At 34.9% G+C, this 27416-nt stretch overlaps 1 protein-coding gene across 14 annotated transcripts in view, besides 1 other annotated feature; it reads left to right on the forward strand.

Annotated features, from left to right (window-relative positions):
- Window positions 1-27416, forward strand: part of ADGRV1 (adhesion G protein-coupled receptor V1) — a 605641-nt gene that overhangs the window by 52782 nt on the left and 525443 nt on the right. For 13 of the 14 annotated variants that reach the window (NR_003149.2, XM_017009963.3, XM_017009969.3 and 10 more), the window contains exons 2-11: window positions 3257-3441; window positions 6226-6375; window positions 7508-7603; window positions 11019-11123; window positions 13552-13665; window positions 15633-16198; window positions 16984-17254; window positions 17632-17961; window positions 23536-23712; window positions 26147-26370. Coding sequence is in view for 13 of the 14 variants with exons in the window: in XM_017009963.3 (XP_016865452.1) it covers window positions 3257-3441; window positions 6226-6375; window positions 7508-7603; window positions 11019-11123; window positions 13552-13665; window positions 15633-16198; window positions 16984-17254; window positions 17632-17961; window positions 23536-23712; window positions 26147-26370 (2218 nt within the window). In the remaining variant the exon portion in view is untranslated. The remainder of the gene's footprint in view (window positions 1-3256; window positions 3442-6225; window positions 6376-7507; window positions 7604-11018; window positions 11124-13551; window positions 13666-15632; window positions 16199-16983; window positions 17255-17631; window positions 17962-23535; window positions 23713-26146; window positions 26371-27416) is intronic. The other variant, XM_017009967.2, reaches the window with a different exon arrangement.
- Window positions 1430-1629: an enhancer, noted in NCBI's record as "active region_22781". NCBI's record gives its function as "activates an Ori minimal core promoter by ATAC-STARR-seq in GM12878 lymphoblastoid cells {active_cell/tissue: GM12878}" and the evidence as "EXISTENCE:reporter gene assay evidence [ECO:0000049][PMID:35858748]".

Here is a 27416-nt window from a genome sequence, read left to right on the forward strand (position 1 = left end):
TGCTAAAATTATTCTTTCACAGTTGCAACAGAATACAAATTACGCACATCATGATCTTAAAACATATGTTTGAAATTCATTTTATAGAGAAGTTTAAAAATAAGTGGTCTGATGGGGCATGAAAAAATTTTGTTAAATCTAGTAAGAGAAAAAAATGACCTAAAATAGATTTAAGACTTATGTGCTGTGTCAATTACTAATGCCTTGTCTTCTGAGTTTAATTTAAAAAAAGGGAATTCCAAAGACTAGATTTTTAGTGTGATAGAGGAAAGTGTACCTAGCTACTCTAAAAAATAAACTATTCAGCATTTGTGTAATTATGCCTGTCTTCTAATGGGAACTTCATTTTCAAAGCTTTTTTTAATCTTTAAATTCTATTGAATGCCAACTTTGCCCGAACAACTTTTCATACAGTGTGAAAAGATGAAAGCAAAGGAGATGCAATTATCAATGATGTCACAGAATTTGAGGCATTTCCAATCATGCCTGTGTGCTCATTTTGCATAATCAAAACTCACTGATGGGGACCAATTTAAAATGAATTTACTGACTTAAACACAGGATCTTGGAGCTCTAATTGCCTGGGAAACTGTAAGAATGCAGCATTTGAGCTCATTGGTCCTGACATAAAAAGATGCTGTTAAATATTTAAAGTAGTCAAGAGAGCTGTAGTGTCATTTAAATAAATGTAATGTTTATTAGAGTAATAAAGTGAAACTTTTAGGAGATTCATAATTATGCAATCTTATGAGAGTTTTGGTTATTGTGCATGAGCTTGAAATATCTGAATGCTTGGAAACGTAGCATAAATGATCTATCATATTATTCAAGGTGGTGATGTGTGATTTGTTGAAATAAAATGTAAATGGCAGTACAGTGTGGTTATTGGGTAGAGAGTTTGGAGTTAGCCTCCAAAGCCTACATAGCCACTTAACTGAATAATATTGCATATGTTGACTAACCCATCTCTGCTTTAGTTTTCTCAGCTATAAAATGGTACTAATGCTATGCTCGCCTTCTTCATAGAGATATTGTAAGGATTAAATGTGTTAATGTATATAAAGTACCTTAAAACAGTGCTTATATAAGCATTTGCTGTTATGATCACTCTGTAAAAGTCATTACGGTTTTTCTTCCGAATGCACAAAATCTTAAAATGCAATATCAGAATATGAAAAAACATATGAGGAAGTTCGCACATATAGCATTGAAAAGTTCAGTAGTTAACTCATAACTACAAATTTGGCCTTTTGTATGTTCACTCCAAGACACACTTCTAACACGATTCCTCACACTCTAGGACAGTAATTCTCAAAGTGAATTATACCAAGGATGAGTTGGATCAGAATTAATAGGGCTACTTGTTAAATGCATATTCCTGGTCCTCACTTTAGACTCACTGAATCAGAATTTTTGAGAGTGAGAATTAGCATTTTAACAAATGCCTGAGGTGATCCTAATGCAGGACAGATTTTGAGAACTGTTCTTACTTGTTCATGATTCCCTCTACTCATGCTGTAATTTCACTTTCACTCTGTCTCACATTGCACTTCAGATGTCTTATTTCTCTCAGTTCATGGTTCTGTCACGTCTCCTGTTCAAGGACTGTAGATTTTTCTTTCAAAATCACAGTAGATTGTAGTTGATCTTTTTCTTTCACATTCAAAGCCTAGTTTACTACCTTCTCCCTCTTCCATTTTGTGCTCTCTTCATTGTACCTTGTTCATTTCCTTGCCACTATTTGTCCTAAGTGGGATGTGAAATCATTCTGGCTTTAGAATTCCATAAAAGACCTTCACCTGGCTTTGGTTTAGCTCAGAACTGCTCCCCCTTTCCTGTCTCACACATGCTTTGCTTTTTCCCTTCCATTTCTCTCATCTTTTTCATTTCCTTTCTTTCCATGAACATTCCTGGGTTGGAAGACAGGGAAGAGTTTGCAGCTGGTCAAGGAAAACTCTTCTTCAGATTTCATTGGTCTTCTGGCAGGTTTGCCTGGAGAGAAGGGACAGGTACAAAGGAAGTCCCAATCCTTCAGCATCTCTGTCCCTGTTAGCTTATATCCCTTTCCTGGACTCCATTTGAACTCGGCATCCCTGTCTGGATTTTAGAGTCAGAAGTGTGTGAGACATCATTGAGCAGTCTCAGACTGCATTGTCTGTATATACTTAACGGAGAACATTGCACTTAAATCCTAAAATATATCAGGAACTCATATATTTGGCGTGTCTAAGTATAAAGCCATGTGTAGCCAAGTGGAAACACCACATACAAGAAAATTGTATTACTTCTTGGCCAAGGTAAAGATTAATAGGAAGCATTTTGGCTCATAGAGTATGTAATGCAGCTCTCCTTTAAAACACGTGAACTTTTTATGTTCGTGTGAATGATCACATAGATCCACGGGAATCTTAATGATCCGTGAGGGAAATTGTTCACATTTTTAGAGGTATATCTACATTACAAAACAGCAGCACTTTCAGGAGACCACTGCACTGTTGTGCTTTGGAAAGCACTTGAATCCCAGAGTGCTGAAAGTAGGAACAGTATTGATGACTCATAAACACACATATCATAGTGAAAAAAAAAAAAAAAAAGAAAGTTGTCATGGAAAAAAAGGAAATATATACTTTGGCAAATTTAAAGCAACATGGACATTTTCTTAGACGTGGTCTTAGTATTTTAGCTAGTAAAATGAAAGAAATTTAAGTCCTGGAAATTTATCCCTTCTTTGAAAGGATTAGAATTTCTTTGCAATAACTAAGAATTTAAAAAATTCTCAAAGAAGACAAGTTTAAGGAAAAAGTAGACACCAACCAAGAAATCAATTTATTGCTAAAAATTTGGCTTCAACTGTTTCAGTTTTGGCTGGTATTTCGTAGTTTTATTTGTGTAAATATGGGCTTTAATTAAATTTCCATGTTGCTGCTTAGGTTTTTCTTAAAATGTGGATGTCAATAAATTTTTTACATGAACTAAATTTAATAAGTAAGTTTAACTTACAGCTATTATCTTGGTATAGAAGCTAAAAAGCAAAAAGTACTTCTGAATAGTAGAAAGAGAACCGTAAGAATAGAATCGTGTTTTTTTAACTTCTGTCGTCACATATTTGAGTTTGATGGCTTAATAGTAGATGTATTTATGTCTTAGTTGTTTGCTGTCTAACTCTTCATACTATGTTTATATCTATAGACAATACAATCTAATGAGAATAGATTAGATATATTTTGTGAATAATATTTTTTTCTTTTTGTTTTAGGGATGCCCTCTGCATCTTTATTAGTAAATCTTCTTTCAGCTTTACTCATCCTATTTGTGTTTGGAGAAACAGAAATAAGATTTACTGGACAAACTGAATTTGTTGTTAATGAAACAAGTACAACAGTTATTCGTCTTATCATTGAAAGGATAGGAGAGCCAGCAAATGTTACTGCAATTGTATCGGTAAGAAATTATTATAGCTCTATTTTTACTGAAATAGATATGACGTTTCTTAGTTTTAATGGCAAGGATTTTTTTTTTCTGTTTGAGATTTTGAGCAGTTTCATTATGATAAATGATGGATAATTTGCAGATAATGCTATTCCATTTTTATCTCTTACAGGTTTATAGAGTGCTCCAACATAATCATGTATATTTAACAGTACTATTTTTAAAGATATAGACTGATCATTTTGTAGTGTTCATATATTTATTTTAGAACAAGAACTTTTCATTTTGGGTAATTTGGATTGTAGCTATCTCTGCTCAGATATACTATCTATTGTAAGGTGGTGTAGAGAAAACGTATGGAATATTTAAAAGTAGAGAAACGACAATAGTAAAAAAAAACTTTAGTTATGTCCAAGAGCTCTTTTAGTGGGAAAAATTAAGTATATTAACTTAAGTAAATGTTGGGTAGAATTTGTTAAACTATTGATCTATCTAGCACACAATTTAGTTACTGGGTGGATTGTGTGTGCATAAGTATGTGTCTATTTTTAACCAGAAAGTTATGTCATGTGACCACTAAGAGTATTGCTATATTTGAGTCTCAAAGTACTTATACTTTTTGTTTGCAAAAATAAAATCTTAAGAAATAGGCTTAATTATCACATTGTGAAATATTATAAAAAGAGAAGATGAAGAAAAATGACCTATGAACGAATCCAGTGCTATAATTTTAGTTATTTGTGACATATATCTATATATAGAAATTATTTTTAGAGTACACATTATATGAGATAATCTTTTTCATAAAATTTTGATTGAATCCTAACAATTTTTTCAGGTTCCTTTATCATTTTCACAACTTTTCTTAATGGTGTTGTAATTACTTCCTGATCATTCTTCCTTTTCATTGTGGTTGCTTCTAATTTTTACAGTTACGAATGTTATTCTGGTGAAACTGTTTACATATATTTTGATTTTTACCTATTTCGAATTGTTAAACGATTTTCATAGGCTGAATTACTGTGCTTTTCTGTTTGTTTCAGTGGCTCTTGATAACTCTTTCTTAAAGCTTGTGTCATTTTCTATAGTAAGGTATATTTTCCAACACCCTTCACAACTTACTTGGATTTCTCAAGTATTTAAAACTTAATTTATTGTTATGTATGAGAACTAGAAATTGACTAAAATTTCCCTATACATGATTTTTATTGGTACTAAATCAAATATTTTTTCTAGTAGCTTAATTACTCATTTTGAGCTCTTTCGTGAAAGAGATCTCATTTTGATCGCACAAGCTCATGCAGAATCTTACTAATAATACTGAGAATCTTACCAGTAATGCTGATTTCACAGAATAAGATCCTAAAAAGTTAAGGAAAAGTTTATGATGACTAAAACATTTGAAATGCTAAAATAATTAGATCTTTATTGGAGATGTGGGAGAATATAAGTACAACTTTAGGTTGAGTTTGGGAAAGAGCAGTTTCTTTGAAACTGATAGGGAAATAATTGATTTTCCTGACACAGTTTTTGGCAGGCCACATACATCTCTTTCTTTTCCTTTTCTCTTTTTTGTTGATATATAATAGTTGTACGTATTTTGGGGGTATATGTGATATTTTAATATTTGTATACAATGTGTAATGATCAAATTAGGGGAATTGGGGAATATCCCCAATGATCCCCAATGATCAAATTAGGGGAATATCCCTCACTTCAAACATTAATCTTTTCTTTGTGTTGGAAGCATTATAATTCCTCTCTTCTAGCTATTTTGATATATACAATAAATTAATGTTAACTATAATTTCCCTACTGTACTATCGAATACTGGAACCCATTCCTTCTGTTTTTGTACTCCTTAACCAACTTATCTTCATTAACCTCTTCCCTTCTCAGCCTCTGGTAACCACCATTCTACTCTCTACCTCCATCAGGTCCACATTCTTTAGCTGGATGAGAACATGTGGATGAGAACATGAGATATCTATCTTTCAGCACCTGGCTTATTTCACTTAACATAATGACTTCCTGTTACATCCATGTTTCTACAAATAAAAGGATTTCATTCTTTTTGATGGCTGAATAATATTCTGTTGTGTAGCTGTGCATATATACAACATTTTTTTGAGAATTTTAGCTATAATTTGTCTTATTGTTAGGTTTGCTGTTGTCTACTCCAGATCAATCAAGAGCAGAGAAAAAAATTCACATAATTGCTTTCCTATATAATTCTTTTTCTATGTAATATTTGTTTTCGTTTCACAGCATGAACAAATGATTTTGTTTAGAATCATTTCTTTTTTCCTTTTTTTTTTTTGAGGCAGAGTCTTGCACTGTCATTCAGGCTGGAGTGTAGTGGTGCGATCTTGGCTCACTGCAACCTCCGCCTCCCGGGTTCAAGCAATTCTCCTGCCTCAGCCTCCCAAGTAGCTGGGACTACAGACACACACCACCACGCCCAGCTAATTTTTGTATTTTTATTAGAGATGAGGTTTCACCATATTGGCCAGGCTGGTCTTGAACTCCTGACCTCGTGATCCGCCCGTGTCGGCCTCCCAAAGTGCTGGGATTACAGTAGTGAGCCACTGCGCCTGGCCTGGAATCATTTGTTTATTTCTGAAGATAAGTTTTTTCAGTTGTTAAATATTTATGATTTTTGTTTTTGTACACCCTATCTATAAACATAAATGTCACTTGATTTATGCTTTTTCTCTTGATTGCTGTAATTAACATCAGTTTTACTTGTCCTAATACTGTGTTAAATAAGAATGATCTATATTTTGCATTTGATAGCTGTATGGAGAGGACGCTGGTGACTTTTTTGACACATATGCTGCAGCTTTTATACCTGCCGGAGAAACAAACAGAACAGTGTACATAGCAGTATGTGATGATGACTTACCAGAGCCTGACGAAACTTTTATTTTTCACTTAACATTACAGGTAAGTCCGTGTTTCCTCCTTATAAAAATTATAAGGAGGACTTATAAAACTTATAAAAATCTTTTAGTGCTTAACAATCTATCTATCTAGAGATGAGCCAATTCAGATAACTGGTGGTGGTATTCATAGAATCCAGAACTGACAACCTCTTCAGCGCTTCCACAATCTGGTTATTCCTTGATCTTGTTCAGAAACTCTGCAGGTAGTTTTTGGATCCATTCAGCTTACTCGGGAATTGCCATGACAGTTGCTCCAGAAAACTTTGCCTTCCCTTTGGCCTTTTTTTCTTTTATTCCTCCCCTGCTACCAAATGTACAAAGAATGACTGTGACTTCTGAGATCAAAGGACAAGAATACAAAAAGCGGGCATGGAAGTGGGAGGTCCCTGTGACTTAAATTCAGAGTACCGCTGGGAGAAAAACCTGAATAGCCTTAGGTTTAATTGAACTTTATGGCTTGGTTTATTAGGTTGAGGCAATGACTCGCTAACACCATTCTGGTTGTTTTTTCTAAAGAACATTAAGAATTTTTTTTTGAATAATTGTGTCACTACCATTAAAATGTTTGTGAAAATTACACTTGAAACAGTTATGTTTTGCTCTTTTAAATCATTCTTTAAAAAATATACTTTTGTGCTGCTGTTGAATATCAGTACAAATGTTACAGAAAACTCTCCATTTTATAAACAGTTTTAATGTTTTATCTTCAGTTTGGTTCTGTGATTCATAGAATAACTAATTCTAAAGTTCCAGTACCTTCAATAGCATAGGAAAAATTACATTGAATAGAATTTTGTACTGTGTACTTAATTCTGTTATATTAGTGATAACATAGTAATTATAACTAATTTATAATATAGTATTATTAGCCAGTGATTATTTATAATTATACTATCATATATTATTAAGAGTCAGTGACTAATGGTTTTCAAAACTTTTTTGAAAATTTTTCATTTGGAACTTCTTAACCATATTGATGTAATTAGAATGTTTACTTAATCTGTGCATTAAGATTACATATGTATTTTTATTATATTCTGAATAACTACTTGAAGACAAATTCTACAAAAATAAATTTTTAACTTATTATTTTATTTTTAATTCATTATTTTATTTTTGGGATTTTATTTTAGAAACCTTCAGCAAATGTGAAGCTTGGATGGCCAAGGACTGTTACTGTGACAATATTATCAAATGACAATGCATTTGGAATTATTTCATTTAATATGGTATGGACACAATTTGATGATAATTGTGGTTGCTAGATAATAGTTTATTAAATTTTAAAAATTAGTTTTCATGATGTTAGCTAGTATCATGCTGTGTTTTGATATTTAAATAAAATTTGCTTTAACTTTGTCCCTGTTTCACATTCTGTAGACCATTCATTTGTTCTACCTAAGATGTTTGTGAATTGAGGACGCTTGTATGATCGTGGTCATCTTTTGTCCTAATCTCTTTCTGCTGATTGTTCCACCTGACTCCTTTGTTAACTCTTCTGTCTTTAACTCAGATATACCACCCATTGCCTTTTCCTGATTTCCCCAAATGTCACCTAAAGAAAGTGTTGTTTGTTTGTCAGACTCTTCTGAAAGTTTGGAGTTAATGGGAGATGAGAAAGCATATTGAAAGAATACTTTTCTTTTTTTTTAATTATTATTATTATACTTTAAGTTTTAGGGTACATGTGCACAACGTGCAGGTTTGTTACATATGTATACATATGCCATGCTGGTGTGCTGCACCCATTAACTCGTCATTTAGCATTAGGTATATCTCCTAATGCTATCCCTCCCCCCTCCCCCTACCCCACAACAGACGCCGGTGTGTGATGTTCCCCTTCCTGTGTCCATGTGTTCTCATTGTTCAATTCCCACCTATGAGTGAGAACATGCGGTGTTTGGTTTTTTGTCCTTGCGATAGTTTGCTGAGAATGATGGTTTCCAGCTTCATCCATGTCCCTACAAAGGACATGAACTCATCATTTTTTATGGCTGCATAGTATTCCATGGTGTATTGTGCCACATTTTCTTAATCCAGTCTATCATTGTTGGACATTTGGGTTGGTTCCAAGTCTTTGCTATTGTGAATAGTGCCGCAATAAAAATACGTGTGCATGTGTCTTTATAGCAGCATGATTTATAATCCTTTGGGTATATACCCAGTAATGGGATGGCTGGGTCAAATGATATTTCTAGTTCTAGATCTCTGAGGAATCGCCACACTGACTTCCACAATGGTTGAACTAGTTTACAGTCCCACCAACAGTGTAAAAGTGTTCCTATTTCTCCACATCCTCTCCAGCACCTGTTGTTTCTTGACTTTTTAATGATTGCCATTCTAACTGGTGTGAGATGGTGTCTCATTGTGGTTTTGATTTGCATTTCTCTGATGGCCAGTGATGATGAGCATTTCTTCATGTGTTTTTTGGCTGCATAAATGTCTCCTTTTGAGAAGTGTCTGTTCATATCCTTTGCCCACTTTTTGATGGAGTATTTTTTTTCTTGTAAATTTGTTTGAGTTCATTGTAGATTCTGGATATTAGCCCTTTGTCAGATGAGTAGATTGCAAAACTTTTCTCCCATTCTGTAGGTTGCCTGTTCACTCTGATGGTAGTTTCTTTTGCTGTGCAGAAGCTCTTTAGTTTAATTAGATCCCATTTGTCAATTTTGTCTTTTGTTGCCATTGCTTTTGGTGTTTTAGACATGAAGTCCTTGCCCATGCCTATGTCCTGAATGGTATTGCCTAGGTTTTCTTCTAGGGTTTTTATGGTTTTAGGTCTAACAGGTAAGTCTTTAATCTATCTTGAATTAATTTTTGTATAAGGTGTAAGGAAGGGATCCAGTTTCAGCTTTCCATATATGGCTAGCCAGTTACTTTCAAAAAACTTACTATGAACTTAAATTGAATAGCAGGTATTACATCTCTTCAAAATTCTGTAGTCATCCCAACTCTTAGGTTTTCCCATTAATTAATATTTTCTGAAGATTGAAACTTCCTTTCATTTCACTCACCTTTGCTCAATAGTGTATTTTCTGTTCCTTAACTGAATTCCTGTGGCTCTGGCCAATCCTGTGATCAGAGAGTTTTATCTTTAGAAACAAATACACAAAATAGGGCCCTTCTTGAGATAAATTGTTTCCAGCTCCTAAAACCAAGTTTATCTCCAATACAACTGAATCTGGTCGCTAAATTTTAGACTCCAGTAACATTCCTGACTCGGAGTCTCCTTGAATCACATTACTAATTATAATTAATAAAACACGTTGCAATACTTCCCAGCTTTTCATTTATTTTTAGATTGCTACTACAATTGGTTGTATTGTATGTCATTTTCTTGGTACCTTAACTTATCTTTGAAAGAAGTGGGCTATAAGTAAATATGATCTTTATAGTGCAGTATCTTTGTTAAAAAGGGTATTTGGCCAACCTCAGTTTAGTAGAAATTCGGTAACCTCCATTATACTGTCATTTACAGACATTAAGTTAATTAATCAACCATCTCTTTTATTTGAATGATAAGGAATTGAATGATAAAGAATTGTTAATGATGAAGCAGGCTCCCTTAATTGCTAAATTTCTCTCCATGTGGCTTTCCTGCTACACTTACTCTCTGTGTATCACCTCCGACCTCATACTGATTTGTTTAAAGGTTTCTTTTGTTGTTGTTGACATTATATATCTTAGCCTATGGGAATGAATCCTAGTTTCTGTCATGGGTCCTAGGTCCCTGACTGGTGGGGGTCTCAGTGCTGCCAGGCAGCCTCTGACATCCTTAAAATTAAACTAAATAACCATTGAGCTCACGGTGGTGCTCAATAGGCTGGCTTTGCTTTTCAGCCCTGAGGATGATTATGTTGGTAGTGAAGATGACATTGATGATGATGATAATAATAGCAACATTTACTGTGCCCTCAGTATATGTCAGGTACTAGGATAAGCACTTGATGTGAACTATCGCATTGAAACCTCATCACAACCCTTCAAGACGGACATTGCTAACCCCAGTTATGTATGGGGCTACTGAGTTTTGCTGTCACCCTGAGAGCTGGCAGCTGCTTCTGTAGCCTGTATGTACTTGGCTGTGTCCGTGTTCCTCCTCTTCTACCCTGAGTTTCCACCAGCTGAACCAGCATATTTCTTTTGAAGTCTTTGCTTTCACCTCCTGCAGAGATCCTGTCCTGAAAGTTATTAGCAGTGTCTGCTTTTCACTGACAAGCTGGCTGATGTGGAGAAAGAGTGGTTGTGGACAAGGCCAAGTGGTGGTCCCAGTGACCTGCTGCCTTGGTCTGGAGGCTTAATTCATGTTTGTGACCTCCTGGGCCCCTGTGAGCATTTGAGTTTGTCACCTTTCAACTAAAAAACCTTTAAATTCCTCAGCAGAACAGCTAGTTGATGGTAGAACCAGGACAAGAAACCACATCTTTTGCCTGACTAGTTTTTATGTTCCCTTTACACTATTCTTTTTAACTTTTTCAGCATTTTAAAGCTATAGTTCATTGATGCTAGGAAATATCACATTCTTATCGTACAGTGTGGATTGATGTGTCTGTGGAAATTGAGCGTTTCTGAGGTAATAGTTTTTACCGCCTCATACCTCTGATTGCTCAGCTCCTGATCATCTGTGCTTGCTTTCCTCAATAGCTTCCCTCAATCGCAGTGAGTGAGCCCAAGGGCAGAAATGAGTCTATGCCTCTTACTCTCATCAGGGAAAAGGGAACCTATGGAATGGTCATGGTGACTTTTGAGGTAAGTTTACTCTGAAGTCATTTTATTTTATTTATTTTTATTTTTATTTATTTATTTTTGAGACAGTCTTGCTCTGTTGCCCAAGCTGGAGTGCAGTGGTGCGATCTCAGCTCAATGCAACCTCTGCCTCCCAGGTTCAAGTGATTCTCCTGCCTCAGAGTCCCGAGTAGCTAGGATTGCAGGCATGTGCCACCATGCCTGGCTAATTTTTGTATTTTTAGTAGAGACAGGGTGTCACCATGTTGGCCAGGCTGGTCTTGAACTCCTGGCCTCAGGTGATCCGCCCGCCTTGGCGTCCCAAAGTGCTGGGGTTACAGGCGTGAGCCACTGCACCCGGCCCTGAAATCACTTTAAATGCGAACACTGGGGTTCATACCAGATGGCTGCAATTTTGAAAATCAAAGTTCCTTGTATAATAAACATGACACAATACAATTAAAATAAAGATGAATACTTTTCTGATCTGATACATTTCATGATTAATATAAAAATGTTTTCCTTGCTGCTTGTGTATACAATGCTTACATGAAATACAAGTAACATTTTAGATATGTGGGAAAAATAAATCATAGGATAGAATAATAATGTTAATTCTATAAAATTCATGGAACTTTTATGATAAATGTTTTCAAAGACAGGAAATTTTAAAATACCCATGGATTACTTAGGTTTACATAAAATTATTTAATATGTTGTCTTTCTCTATTTTATTTTATTTTATTTTTTTTGAGACAGGATCTTACTCTGATGCCCAGGCTGGAGTACAGTGGCACTATCATGGCTCACTGCAGCCTCAACCTCCTGGGCTCATGCAGTCCTCCTGTATCAGCATTCTGAATAGCTGGGAGTACAGGTGTGCATCACCATGCCCAGCTAAGTTTTAATGTTTTTTGTAGAGATGAAGTCGCATTATGTTGCCCAGGCTGGTTTTGAACTCCTGAGCACAAATGATCCTCCCTCTTCAGCCTCCCAAAGAGCTGGGATTACAGTCATGACCCACCATGCCTTCCCCCTGCCCCCCATTTTTTTCAGTACACCAAATGGATGGTGTTTGTAGCCATTGCACTCCACCATGGGAATCCATAAATGTTACAGGATGTGGCATGAATATGATAAGCTGTAGGTGAGGTGTATTTTTCAGGGGCTAGCTCTAATCATTTTATTTGATTGCTTACTGACCATGTGCCAATCATTGTGTCACCACATTGCTGTTCTATGAGATACACATTTAAATCTTCAACTAATTTTTGTGTTTTTTAGGATCCACAACATGATTATATACTATTTTCAAACATTAGAGTATTAGCAATTTCAGATACCAGTTTCTTTCCTAATTATTAATTGTAATATCAATAAAATGGAAGCATATTTATTTAACACAATTCTATGGTAGCATAGAAGAGTTCTGTTCATGCTTGTGGGTGTCCACATCATATGGTAGTTATGTTAACTACACAGAACATAGAATAGCAGAAGACAATAATGCATGAAAAACACAGTAAACACTAACTAAATATGCAGTAGTCTTGCAAGTTTTACACTGGAAGCATTACACAGTTTTTCAGGTACTTAGGAATATGCATTTAGACAATAAATTTTTGAAAATTTTTCTGATAAATATTGGAAAAATTAGAAAATAATTGGCTGTAGAAAGGATAAATCATCCAGAGTAGAGTGTTTTCAACTTATCTATGGATGTCTAAAGTTATTTTATCAGGTTTGTAGCCTGTTTTTTGTTTAAATAATTATAAGTAACATTTTTGGAGTGCTTAATATTGCCATATACTGTTGTAAGTGCTTTATATTGATTATTACTGCATACGTATAGCACCCCTCCCTGGCACTTGATCTCTCTCATGCTATTCTTAATTTTTTCTCTATGATACTTATTATCATCTAACGCATACCCATTCATTTATTTATCATTTATTCCCTTCCTTTAAATGTCAGGACTATATGGAGGGGAATTTGCTGTGTTCACTGCTAAATCTTTAGTACCTAAAAGAGATGCAGCATAGAGTACTCAACAAATGCTTTTTTAAATGAATGATTTTATTTATTCTTCACATCTTCACATCCAGCTTGTGAAGTGGAAAATACTGGTATTACTTGAGGGAATTTACTAATCTTGAATACCCTTTCTTCCAAGAAGAAATATTTGTAGAGTTTTTTTTTTCCCCTCAGGTTTAACATAATGGTTGAGAAAAAACAGCTCGTAGAAACCACGTAGTTTAATGCAGTTATAGTCAATATCTATAATTACGTTATAGGACCTATTAATTTGAAGGGCAGAATGATGTATGGGTTAGTGTAATTCTTGCAGAACATCTTTAAACTTCAGATTTTTGTCAGCTGACATCACAATGATGCTTTCTCAGTCTTGTGAAGTATTTTGCATTTATTGATGGCATTTTGTGTTTCTTTGCAGGTAGAGGGTGGCCCAAATCCCCCTGATGAAGATTTGAGTCCAGTTAAAGGAAATATCACCTTTCCCCCTGGCAGAGCAACAGTAATTTATAACTTGACAGTACTCGATGACGAGGTTGGCTAATGTTACATACCCAAATGGGACAAGGATTCTGTGTTGCAGGACACAGTCCTGTATAAACTTAGTGTATTGTGGCCAGTCGCACCTCAGCTATAAATAGCTGACTGTTCTGGAATACATCTTATTACTATTTATCTTACTTAATTCACATTAAATTACACATCTAAAAGCTGATGAATCTGAATATAACTGGCAACCATACATCATACAAATATTTAAGCATTTTGTATACCCTGGTAATCAATTTTTGTTAGTGCTTTCAATTTTGAGCAAGAACAATACTAACCTAGAATAAATATTTTACCATAAAAGCAAAGAAAAATTCTACTGCAGTTGGTATTCTTTTGTTTTTATTTTTTTGTTGTTGTTTAGAAGGAGTCTCGCTCTGTTGCCCAGGCTGGAGTGCAGTGGCGCGATCTCGGCTCACTGCAAGCTCCGCCTCCAGGGTTCACGCCATTCTCCTGCCTCAGCCTCCCGAGTAGCTGGGACTACAGGTGCCTGCCACCATGCCCGGCTAATTTTTTGTATTTTTAATAGAGACGGGGTTTCACCGTGTTAGCCAGGATGGTCTCGATCTCCTGACCTCGTGATCCACCAGCCTCGGCCTCCCAAAGTGCTGGGATTACAGGCATGAGCCACCGCACCCGGCTTGTTTGGATATTTTTAATGTTCACATTTATGGGAAGATTTTTATTATTTTTATATTTCACATTGGAACTAGCAAGGATAGAGATACATGATACACCTAGCTTAATTGCTAAGAATGAATCTGAACAATAATGTGCAAGGATGTCCCCCACATGAGCTAAACGAGAGAAAACATGACTTTTTATAAAAGAAACTAAGTTTTGCCAGAAAAGAAAACAAAAAGAAAATAGCTGGCAATTTGTAACCCTCCCTCTACCCTCCTACAAAAATTCTGAAACTAAATCACAAGAAAACTCAAGAGAAGGGAAAAAATGTATTAGAGTATTAGAAGACATTATTAGAAAAGAATTTTTCTCTTGAAAAAAAATGAAATATTTGGAAGCATTGATATCTCCAGTTCCTCTGGTTCTGGAAGCAAGCAAAAAAACCTTTTTGTTTTAAGATCTCAGAGCATTGAACGGGCTATAATTTGGGGAGATGATTAATTATACATTTTGATTGTAAATTTGAAAGATCAATCGAATCATAACATTTTATTTTTAAGATAAATAGCTTTGCTTTTTATATTGCTGCTGATGGAGGTAAAAGCATGCATTTTTTTCACTTTTATTTCTAAAATAGAGTTTATGGTGAATGAAAAGCTCACACAGCACAGTGGAGATTAACCCCAAGATTTCTCTGCAGCAGCATAAATAAAAGGAAAAAAAAAAGAAAGAAAAAAATGAAAAGCAAAAATTGCACTTTAACAGTGTCAGCATTTTTCCTAGTAGTGACTCTTACAGCTTTTTCTCCAGAGAGGCATGATGTGTATCTTGAAAAGCATATATTGGTGTCACGTGTTTAACTCCTGAATTAACAACCATTTGGAGAAAAGCAAGAATAATTCACAAGGAAAACTAACAATTTTTATGTAATGTTTAACGTACTTTCCAGATTCTTAGGTATTATTAGACTTTCAGTACTACTTCTAAGCATATCAAACTGATAAAACTGATAGAAATGTATGACAGTTTTTTACTGTTTAATCTTTGGAGTTATCTAAGGACCAGTTAAGGCTGAAAGACATTATACCTGGACTTCATTACTTGTACTATTGCTTCCTTACGTTTTCTTTTCCTGTGTAAAATACATTATTTACCTGTGGAAAATATTTTATTAATTGGAGACTAAACAAGCCTTTCTATTTGCTCCCTCAGTTAAAGAATTTTTATTTCTATGTAATTGTATTGAAACATAATGACTTGTTACACTTTAGTTTATTTGCAGGTGTTTTGGCTGTTGATGTTTTGCCTCTGTTTATATTCCTTTAACAGGTACCAGAAAATGATGAAATATTTTTAATTCAACTGAAAAGTGTAGAAGGAGGAGCTGAGATTAACACCTCTAGGAATTCCATTGAGATCATCATTAAGAAAAATGATAGTCCCGTGAGATTCCTTCAGAGTATTTATTTGGTTCCTGAGGAAGACCACATACTCATAATTCCAGTAGTTCGTGGAAAGGACAACAATGGAAATCTGATTGGATCTGATGAATATGAGGTTTCAATCAGTTATGCTGTCACAACTGGGAATTCCACAGCACATGCCCAGCAAAATCTGGACTTCATTGATCTTCAGCCAAACACAACTGTTGTTTTTCCACCTTTTATTCATGAATCTCACTTGAAATTTCAAATAGTTGATGACACCATACCGGAGATTGCTGAATCGTTTCACATTATGTTACTAAAAGATACCTTACAGGGAGATGCTGTGCTAATAAGCCCTTCTGTTGTACAAGTCACCATTAAGCCAAATGATAAACCTTATGGAGTCCTTTCATTCAACAGTGTTTTGTTTGAAAGGACAGTTATAATTGATGAAGATAGAATATCAAGGTATGATTTATTTTAAATATATTGCTACCATTATTTTATTATATTATTCCAGATTTAAGTTTTGTGGTGTTGGACACAACAATGAACTGTTAGAATATGTGTCATTTTTTCCCACAAAGTTTCATGACAAACTCAGAAAAGACACACACACACACACACACACACACACACACACACACACACACAAGAATATGTCATTTTTTCTACCATGGCTTCACTGTTTTCTTTCTTATTTGGAGTGTGATTTAATTATGCAAATGATTCATAGTATAGTAGTTCCCTAGGACACATTCACATATCTACACCTTCATATTAAAAATACTTTTTTCCGCCAGGCATGGTGACTCACACCTGTAATCCCAGCACTTTGGCAGGCTTGGGGGAGGATTTTCTGAGTCTAGGTGTTCAAGACCAGCCTGGGCAACAAAGTGAGACCCCGCCCACAAAATAAAATAAAATAAAATAAAATAAAATAAAATAAAAAGATTAGCTGAGTGTGGTGGTGTCCACCTGAAGTCCCAGATACTTGGGAGGCTAATGCAGGAGGATTGCCTGAGTCCATGAAGTTGAAGTTGTAGTGAGCTCTGATCACACCACTGCACTTCAGCTTGGGCAACAGAGTGTGACCCAGTCTCAAACAAACAAAAATAACAAATCAGTTATTTTTTTGTTGTATAGATTCTGTTTTTATCAGTGTCTAATGGACAACTTGACATTGGGAAAGCTTATCTAAGGGAAATAAAGTGTACTATGTGACAATATGTATTTCTTTTAAAACATTTAAGATATGAAGAAATCACAGTGGTTAGAAATGGAGGAACCCATGGGAATGTCTCTGCGAATTGGGTGTTGACACGGAACAGCACTGATCCCTCACCAGTAACAGCAGATATCAGACCGAGCTCTGGAGTTCTCCATTTTGCACAAGGGCAGATGTTGGCAACAATTCCTCTTACTGTGGTTGATGATGATCTTCCAGAAGAGGCAGAAGCTTATCTACTTCAAATTCTGCCTCATACAATACGAGGAGGTGCAGAAGTGAGCGAGCCAGCGGAGGTATAACCCTTGTTATGCTTTATGCTTGTTAATATTTCTGTGCTGTACAAGAACCAAAGAATTTGGTCATACACATCAACTTTATGTTTAGTTTGAAGGGACAGGAAAAACACTGGCTTTGCAAATGATAGTTTTCTTACTCAGTATTCCTTCTGAAAATAAATATTTTACCCTCTAAAAAATTCCACAAACTGTGATTTAGGAATATTTCCAAATCTGTTTTTGGTTCATCTTTTGCTCTATTATGTATAAGAAGTCATCATTTTTAGACATAAAATATTAATAAATATTAAAATTAGAATAACATGGAAAATACAGAGTTTGATCATCTCAGATGCGAGAATTCTGTACTTTAATATTTTATTCCTTTACTTCAGCTTTTGTTCTACATTCAGGATAGTGATGATGTCTATGGCCTAATAACATTTTTTCCTATGGAAAACCAGAAGATTGAAAGCAGCCCAGGTGAACGATACTTATCCTTGAGTTTTACAAGACTAGGAGGGACTAAAGGAGATGTGAGGTTGCTTTATTCTGTACTTTACATTCCTGCTGGAGCTGTGGACCCCTTGCAAGCAAAAGAAGGCATCTTAAATATATCAAGGAGAAATGACCTCATTTTTCCAGAGCAAAAAACTCAAGTCACTACAAAATTACCAATAAGAAATGATGCATTCCTTCAAAATGGAGCTCACTTTCTAGTACAGGTACTTGTATGATTAAAATAATCGTAATTTTGGTTAACCTTCAAGTGTACTAACCTGTGTGAAAGAATTAACTGAACATTATTTTGACCTTGTTATTTTGCCGTCATTTATATGTTGTTACTAAAAGTTGTTTAGGTAGTCGGAAGAGAGATTATGCCTGCTCCTAAGGTATATAAGTATAAATAAGACAAGAATTTTTACCAAAGTTAATATTTTAATTAAGTGACATTAAAAGTACACCAGACGTGAAATGCCAGTCATGCAAGTCAGACTGTCATGGATGACATAGTAGAGTAACTTACAAACTATTACAGGGGAGGGCGAGAGAAAGAGAGGCTAACCATGCTTTGAATTGATTTGGGAAAATATGACATAGGAATAGGATTTGTAGGATAAGTATGTTTTCATAATGAATATTGCAAGGAAAATATTTCAGAAACAAAGCAATATGAGATATATATTTTTTCTTTTTTTTTGAGACAGGGTCTCACTCTGTCACCCAGGCTGGAGTGCAGTGGCGGCATCTCAGTTCACTGCAGCCTCCACGTCCCAGGTTCAAGTGATTCTCCTGCCTCAGCCTCCCGAGTAGCTGGGATTATAGATGCCTGTCACCACACCTGGCTAATTTTTGTGTTTTTAGTAGAGACGGGGTTTTCCCATTTTTGGCCAGGCTGGTCTTAAACTCCTGACCTCAGATGATCCATGCGCCTGAGCCTCCTAAAGTGCTGTGATTACAGGTGTAAGCCACCACGCCTGGCCCAAGAAAAATTTTATAAATACTTTTAAATAATATACTCAAAAATCAATTTCTTTGTCTAGGTAGACTCTCTGGACCTTCAACTGTTTAGTAAAGTCCCCATGACGTATCCTTCCATTTTATACATTTCATTTCTTCTGTTAACCAAAATATTATTTTTATGGCCAAAGTATAAAATATCTGCACTCATTTATGATACTGTTGTTGTTTTCCATGTGTTGATTGCTTGATACTTAAAATTCTAAATCAATAAAGGGTACTTATTAAATTATGTAAATCAATTAAATACAGAATCAGGTAGTGTGAATGGACTGACAAGGAAAGAGCTAAAATCTTATGTTGCCATACATTGTGCCAACTGAAGTATATAGCAAATGAAATATTCTATTTCACTAATTTCTTTGAATCATGCCACATTTAAATATGTTTCATATTTTGCCTTGATTTTGTTTTATGATGGATTTATTATTCCTTTCTCTGGAGTTTCTGATTGTCCCTTTTCTGTATGTTATCTTCACTATATTATTGAGATCTTGCTGCTGTCTTCCTGTGTGTGTTGAATGTTGAGTTTAGCTAAACTAACTGCTTTCTGTGCTTGTTTCACATCTGTTGTCTGGGATTTTTTTACTGAGCTCCTGAATTTTCTTGATCTGTTGCGTTTCTCTTTTGGGATTATGCTGTAGTTTTGTTGTAGTATATCTACCCTCAAACAAATGTGCTGAAAGTATATATGTAAGGTAAACTTTTTGAGTCTTTGAGCACCTGAAATGTGAAATTTTATACTCATATTGATAGTTTGGCTTGGTAGAAATTTCTGGATTAAAATAATTTATTCTTCAGAACTTGAAAGGTATTGTTGTTAAGCTTCTAGAGTTGCAGATGAGAAATTTGAAGGGAAGGAAATGATTTATCTTTTAGATAACTCGATCTTTGTCTCTGAAAGCTTTTTACAACTGTTCCTTGGTGTTCTGAATTTTGTAAGACTGTGTCAGCACTTGGTAGGGTGACCGTTTTCATTTTGAAGACTCCCGCGTTTTTTTAAGCTGAGCCTCCAGGCATACTTGTGCTGTTAGGGCATTTTTCGAGGACTCTTGTCCAAGGGGCTTAGTGGGTGACCTGTTACGGGGATGTAGGATTTGTCAGTATGTACGCGACACCTTTTTGTAATATACCTACACAGAGGGAGGCATTTGCCATCTTCCCCAGAGCCCTACACTAATGGCAGTAGATCCTGATCTTCATCTTTATTATTATTAATTTTTGTTTTCTTGCGTCTCCTCCAAGCGGGAAAATTTTCATGTGATGCGAGCTTCTGCCTGTGAGGATAACTTACTCTCTGGAGGACCCTTGGATTTTTCTTGGAGTGGAAAGATAGGGAACACGGCTCTATTCACAATTGTGTCTGGTTTGTCCTGTGGCTTGTGGATGCCAGGGAGTCTGGATCTGTGAAGTGAAATACTGCAAATGGCCACGCACATGACTTGGGCCCTTGTGAGCATTAAGTTAAAACAACTAGAATGCTGCTACCAGAACACATTTAGAGCTATATTTAGAAACTAAAAACAAAAACAAACAAAAAAATCTCTGACTTTATACAAAAACATGACATAATTTGTTTGCTTTTAAAAATTGATTTTATTAATATGGAAGTGCATATTGATTTTACCAGTTCACACTTAGAGTAGCATTTCTGAAGTTTCAAGACTGTGTGGGATTCAATTTTTTGAGTTTCAGAATTTAATGGAATTTTTTTGACATTAGCACTTGTTTGTCTTCTCTGCTGTCAGTGTCCTCAGGTTTCAGGGTTTCAGAACATTCCCATAAGTATATGTTTAAGGGCTTTTTTTGGGATTTTTTTGGTCTTACTGTTCTCCCTTCTGTTTGTCTCCAGTCTTGCATAATCTACAACTCATGCAAGAACCAGATTATTAAAACAAGTGGAATGAGACAGAGATTTTTACACAGTTGCTTTTGCTTTCATGGAAGCCTGGGCATTCTGGCATATGTGGAGTAGTTGCAGTGATGTGATAGAAGTTTGAGAATTGATGATGCAGAAATGTTGTTTTGGAGTTACAGAGAACGTTTTTGTTATCATTTGAGCTTTCTAATGTCTTTTCTCATAATGCCTCAAAACTAGTTTTTACTGTGGATAAGGACAGTAAAAACTGTGCTAATATATAAAAAAATCTGTACCAATATCAGTATCCTCTATGTTAAACTTTTAATCTTTTGAAAAAGTCCAATATTTCTATCCAAGTAACTGCAGAGAATTCTTGTATAAATACATCCTTATTAGGAACTTTGTACAAGTCAGATATTATCTTAGCTACTCTGCTTCAGCATTCTATATAAACATGACAATTAATTTTTGATGACACTTGAAAGCTAAGAAAAAAGTTGAAGAAGGATGTAATTAATATCTGATTTTTGGTGATCCTGGGTTAGAAAGTTGCACCACTAATTTCAGACTCAATTCTTTATGTATCTATATAGTTAAAACCAAAGGTCTTACAGTGCAGTTAATTTATCACTTGCTTAGGGTGAACAAGGCATTATTAGTCACTGACACAAGTCATTGAGGTTCAAAACAGCTGTAGGTTCTGGAAGGCTAGTTGGAATAAGAGGGCTGTGTAGTTTGCATAGTACATAATGGATGAGCAACTCAAGAATAGGAAGCCTCAGCCTCTGCATGCAAAGTTGAATGAAACTAAAGAAAGCAGAATTCTTTAGTCGCTCCTCATTCTTTAGTAACCCTCTCAGCTAAATACGTTAGTCTGAGATGCAGCTTTTGGCAAGCATGGGGTTACTAATGTGCTGTCCCAGTGGCAAACTATCTGAAATAAAGAATGATTCTTTATGAATGAATAGAGCAGTTTGATTTAGCAGATGGAACCCAGACAGACAAAAAAAGGCTTATAGGCTAGGAAATAAGCCCTGTACAATTAACATTTTCTTTTCCATCAGTTCATTTCATAACCATCTACATTTTCTTTCTATTTGTCAAAAATCCTATATCTAGGATTAATTCTATAACTTTTTTGATAAGTGTAGGGAAATATGACTTATATATTTCTTTCTTTTTAGAAAGTTTTGTGTAAAAATTATTGTTTTTTTCTTGATGCTTAACACAGTATTATCAGTTTAGCTCTTTTTGAATATACAGCAATGACAATGTTCATTCACGAATGTGTGCTTGGTCATACATGACCAGTGTATTTTAGAAATATCTTTGCCTTATAACAATGCACACCCTTATATTTATATACCATTCAAATATACATATTTTATTTAACTTTGTGCTATTTTGTAAGATAAATAAATATATATGTGTATATATATATATTCCTTTTCTCTAGAAAGAATGACAGTTATGTGACTTTAATTATTTATCTTTACATTTTATCTACATTGTAAGGTAAATGCAGTATACTAAAGATCACGTTTTATTTTATGTGGCTTCATCTATATGCCAATACTTGACAAAATTGATCAATCTAATTTTTTTCTTTTTTCAAATGAATATTTACCAAAACCAAAATTATTCATGTCTTTCTCCTGTATATGATTTTTTAAAGCAAAATGTGTGACATTTAAAAAAGACATTTACTTTTACTATTAAAATGTACTATCCATCGCAAAATAGGAGAGAAATCAGTACCAGTCCTGTCCACGTGTGGAAAATCAATTTAAATCACAGGTCTACTGGTGATTACTTAGTGTCATCATTTCAATATTATAAAGCCTAACAGAGGGCTTTAAAGAGTGGCAGAGACATGTTTTATTAAGTTAAAAGTTGCATTTTATTTTAATATTTAAAATTCCTATGGTTTTTGCAGTCCTGTGACGATTACCTATTCCTGCATTCCTGAAGTGAACACTGTGTGCATTGATTGAGAAGTTAGGTTTTGAAAAGTTAGAATATTTAAGACGTTGAATGTTTGTGATTTATCAGAATTCTTATAGAGCTCAGATTGTGTAGAAGGGAGGAATTAACAAATATTTATTGTGAAGCTGCTGCAGTTTCAAGTCTATGTCAAGCCTACGTCATGTATTGGGAAAATGCTGAAAAGGACACAGACCCACAAGAGCTCTGCAGACCTGTTGGGAAGTAAAAATCTGGAATGAATCAAATGATGAGAAACCAGCAATATGTAAAATGTATAACTGCAGGGACACTATATGTTATACATTGCAGTTCTTTAAATGTAAAGATGCATGAAGTTATAAATGGAGTTCTGAGTAGTCTTCTGATACTGGATTTTGTCTGGAGGAGAAGGGAAATGGGGGATGATTGGAAGTGTGGGTCAGTGGAAGACAGGAAGGAGATGTGGATGACTCTCTGATATTTGGCTTTAAGGTCAAGGTAGTTGGATGTAGGTGGCAAGGAGGAAAAGCAGGTGGTGGCACTGCTGATGATACTAGTGAAGGGGCATGGAACAGGGACAGTGATTTCTGTTTTGGATATTGTATATGTAAGGTGTTTGTGTGACATTTATATGATGTCTGTGGCAGTTAGTTATAATGATTTGGAATTAGAGGGAGAGATGCAGAGATTATTAAGGAGCAGGCATAAAATTATAAGATAAAGGGTTTAGGCAGACCCTTGGGGAATAATAACAATTGAGGGGCAGAAAGAGCTCCAGAGGCCAGGGAAGGAGATTGAAAAGGGATGGTGAATGAGAGAGGAGGAGAATAACATTGCGAAGTTATTGGTGACCTCTACCTACGCTTACTTTGTCACCCCATGCTGTTAAGCTTTTTTAAAAAATTTATATTCTATCAATTCTTACTACTTTTTGTGTATTTGTTTATTATAGTTGGAAACTGTGGAGTTGTTAAACATAATTCCTCTAATCCCACCCATAAGCCCTAGATTTGGGGAAATCTGCAATATTTCTTTACTGGTTACTCCAGCCATTGCAAATGGAGAAATTGGCTTTCTCAGCAATCTTCCAATTATTTTGCATGAACCAGAAGATTTTGCTGCTGAAGTGGTAAGTAGGCTCTTTCTTACTGATGGGGGCTAATGAGTATGAAGTAATGTACAGACACTATTTTTAAAATAAGATCAGCATATAGGGTTAACATCTTAAAAAGCTTCAGCATGTACAAGAAGCCTTCAGTATGTCATTTGAAATAGGTAACTGATGAGTATGTGATTTTTCCATCATCGTTTACAGTATTAGATAGAATGAAATTGGAATTAATTGCTCACAGTGAGTGTCGGATATTTTGATGTGACAGCTTTCAGATAGTTCTATGACATTCGATACTACAGTGGTAGCCAAACATAAACTTTTTTTTTTTTTTCTTTGAGAGAGGATTTTACTCTGTCGCCCAGGCTGGAGTGCAGTGGCGTGATCTCAGCTCAGTGCAACCTCTGCCCCGGGCTCAATAGATCCTCCCACCTCAGCCTTATGAGTAGCTGGGACTACAGGTCTGTGCCACCACTCCTGCCTATTTTTTCTTTGTATTTTTAGTAAAGATGGGGTTTTGTCATGTTGTCCAGTTTGGTCCCCAACTACTGAGCTCAAGTAGTCCACCTCCCTTGGCCTTCCAAAGTAATGGGATTACAGGCATGAGGCATTGTGCCTGGCCTATAAACCTTTTTTTTTTTTTTTCTTAATGGCCAAGACATGGTACCACAGGTGTGCTTGACCTACTTCATTTCTGAGCATTCCATATGCTTGGGTTGGAGTGAGGTGGCCAGGTTGGGCCTTATGCTTGATGATGGAGATGATAGTGGTAAAGTTGTGGAATGCTAAATCTTAAGAATTTTTTACTTTATATATACAATATATGTAAATTTTTGCATATAGACATACAAAACGTTCACATGCACAGCACCCCATCCCTCCCCTTGCCCCCACCCCGACATGCCCTGGTTGAATTTTTCTCTTAGGGATGGCTCTTCCTTCAGCCTTACCATTTCCTGAGTCATAGTTGATCCCTGAGACCTTCTCCAAGTCCCCCACACTTAAATTTGATTTAAACCTAGTTGAGGTTTGGATCAGAAAGAAGGAGAGCTGTTTTTGTTATCAAAGCCTTATGTTAAAATATGGTGACCTCAATTTCCATTGTATATTAGCTTCTATAAATGGACAGAGAAGTTTCATTTTTCAAGATGGTTTTGATTTTTCATATTTTTCTGAATACACTCTTTTCTTCTTAAAACGGAAAAGCATTTAGTTTGCTCTTAAAGAGTTGATTGCTTTTATCTTAGATAGCTGTAAATTTACCGTTTCATATTTTTCCCTTAAGAAAAATTAGCTTTTAGGAAGTTTTGGGCTCCTTGGACCTGCATTCTTCCCTGTTGGGAAACAGCAGAAAAACTAGGAGTTTTCCTTTGTTTGTTCCAGATACAGCCTGGATGATGCCCACTCCCTCAAGGTGATTCAGGGCCCCAGCCCTCTGTTATAAGAATCTTTGCTCACTAGTCTCAGGTTATGACGATTGTTAGCTGAAGTAGCAGAATGATTAATGGAGAAAATGTCTTGTTTTTTTTTTTCCAAGATGAGCTTAAAGGGCAAAGAAAAAATAAAACAGGATACTCCTCTTTTAGGAGCATAAAAAGAATAGTGTAATCTAGCATTAAATATTCCTTTATATTCCTCCTTTGAAAAAAACTTCATCATGATATGCAGCGATCCTTTTATTATACATTTTTTAAAGTGTACTGCCCTTGAATGAAACCTCCAAATACAATTTGTTTCAGAATTATTATAATAGCTTCCATTTATTTAGCTTATACTGTGGAGAGGCACTGTCCTAGATACTTTACTTAAACAATTCCTAATCCTCACCACAAACTTGCCAAATAGGGAATCATTAGCTTTATTTCACATGAGAAAATTAGGATCAGAGAGGTTAAGTAACTTGCTCAAGGTAACCCAGAGTCATGATAAAAATATCTGATTTTATTTCTGTGGTATTTATCCTATTGGTTAGAATTTTTTTTTTAATTTTACCCCCATCACTTAGGATGTATTTTATATGAGATAATTTTCCAGTTTTAATCACCGGAGTTTATTTTTCAGTTTATATTGTGATAGTAAGTTCATTTTATTTTCAGAGAACCTCTAATGGAAATATATTCTTTAGCAAGATTGCTGTATGTTTTTCACAATTCTTTGGGTTTTAAAATATTTGCCTTTTATTAAGGCAAACCCAGATTAGACACATTTTTGGGTGAGGGTAGTTTTGTATATAAATTTGATTAGCAAAAATTAATAAAAATATATCTAAAGTGATTTCCATGCTTAAAGGATTGTTTGGTTGTGTTTTAATGCATTTAATAGTTCGCTTCTCTATATAGAATACATATGTTCACACAGTAATATATGTACAAACTAATATCAATACCAAAGCTTATATAATTTCTGAACATATATTTTAGAAGAAATTGTTCTGTTCTTTTCTTTTTATAAGGTATACATTCCCTTACATCGGGATGGAACTGATGGCCAGGCTACTGTCTACTGGAGTTTGAAGCCCTCTGGCTTTAATTCAAAAGCAGTGACCCCGGATGATATAGGCCCCTTTAATGGCTCTGTTTTGTTTTTATCTGGGCAAAGTGACACAACAATCAACATTACTATCAAAGGTGATGACATACCGGAAATGAATGAAACTGTAACACTTTCTCTAGACAGGTAATAACCCATTTAGGTAATGTTTAGTATCATTTATGTTTGAGTTCTCTTCAATAACTTTGATTTTTTTTTTACTCTTTTTTTTCTATATAAAGTAAAAAAAAAAGTCAAGTAAATAGTGTTATACTGGCCTTCAGACTTTTCTGTTATTTGTTGATGGCTTCTGATTAGACTATGAGTATAATTATATCTTTCAGTGAATTTTTACCCTGCTTTTCATTGTGAAGAAGCACTACAGAGAGAATTTATGGAAGGTATCAGATAAATATGAAACATAGCTAATATGTTGTTATATTAAAAAAAAAATAGGCACCAGCAAATCTAAAATGTTAGGTTAAGCAAACAGTTCTGCTGGCTTTATGTTCAACAGAAGAGAGGACTAGAGCTTGTGAGTAAAAAGAAAACATTAATCTTCATGTAATAAAATTCTCTTTTTTACATGGAACTTAAACATTAATTTTATGATTATTTTCTAAAGAATCAAAAATTGCACAAAATTAAGAGATACTTTTTCAGTAATAAATAATAAGAATCAACAGCATTTCTCAGTGGGTAATTTATATTAAGAAAACTTCACAATCTCTCAAAGAGTTTTTTTTTTCAGTTTTTCAGAAAATCCTTTCTAAATATATAAAATACTGTGTTTAATGATTTAATAATTCTAAAAAATCAGAATCAGTCTTATCCCTAACACAAGTCTCTTTATATGAAAGTTGATTCATATTAGAGAAGGTTACTGTGACTTGAGGGCTTTGTGCAATTCATATTTAGAAACAATAAAATTCAAGATAAATTCAAGGGACATTTTGTGTTACATTATTCAGGACTAAAGTAGTAAGTTATTTTATATAGTCCATGGATCTCTCTATAACAGTGTCTTATAGATTTTTCTTTGTAGATGCTTTGTCTAAACACATTTTTAAAAATCTGATGGGTAACTGATTTTTATTTTTATGTGAAAGAAAAGTATAGAATGTAAGCAACAAATTATTGAATGTCCACTGTTCCTTTTGCTTTCTTTCAAAACCACGTTGTGTTTACTTCCT

Source organism: Homo sapiens, chromosome 5, assembly GCF_000001405.40.
Source record: "Homo sapiens chromosome 5, GRCh38.p14 Primary Assembly".
In the NCBI taxonomy this organism is placed as follows: Eukaryota; Metazoa; Chordata; class Mammalia; order Primates; family Hominidae; genus Homo; species Homo sapiens.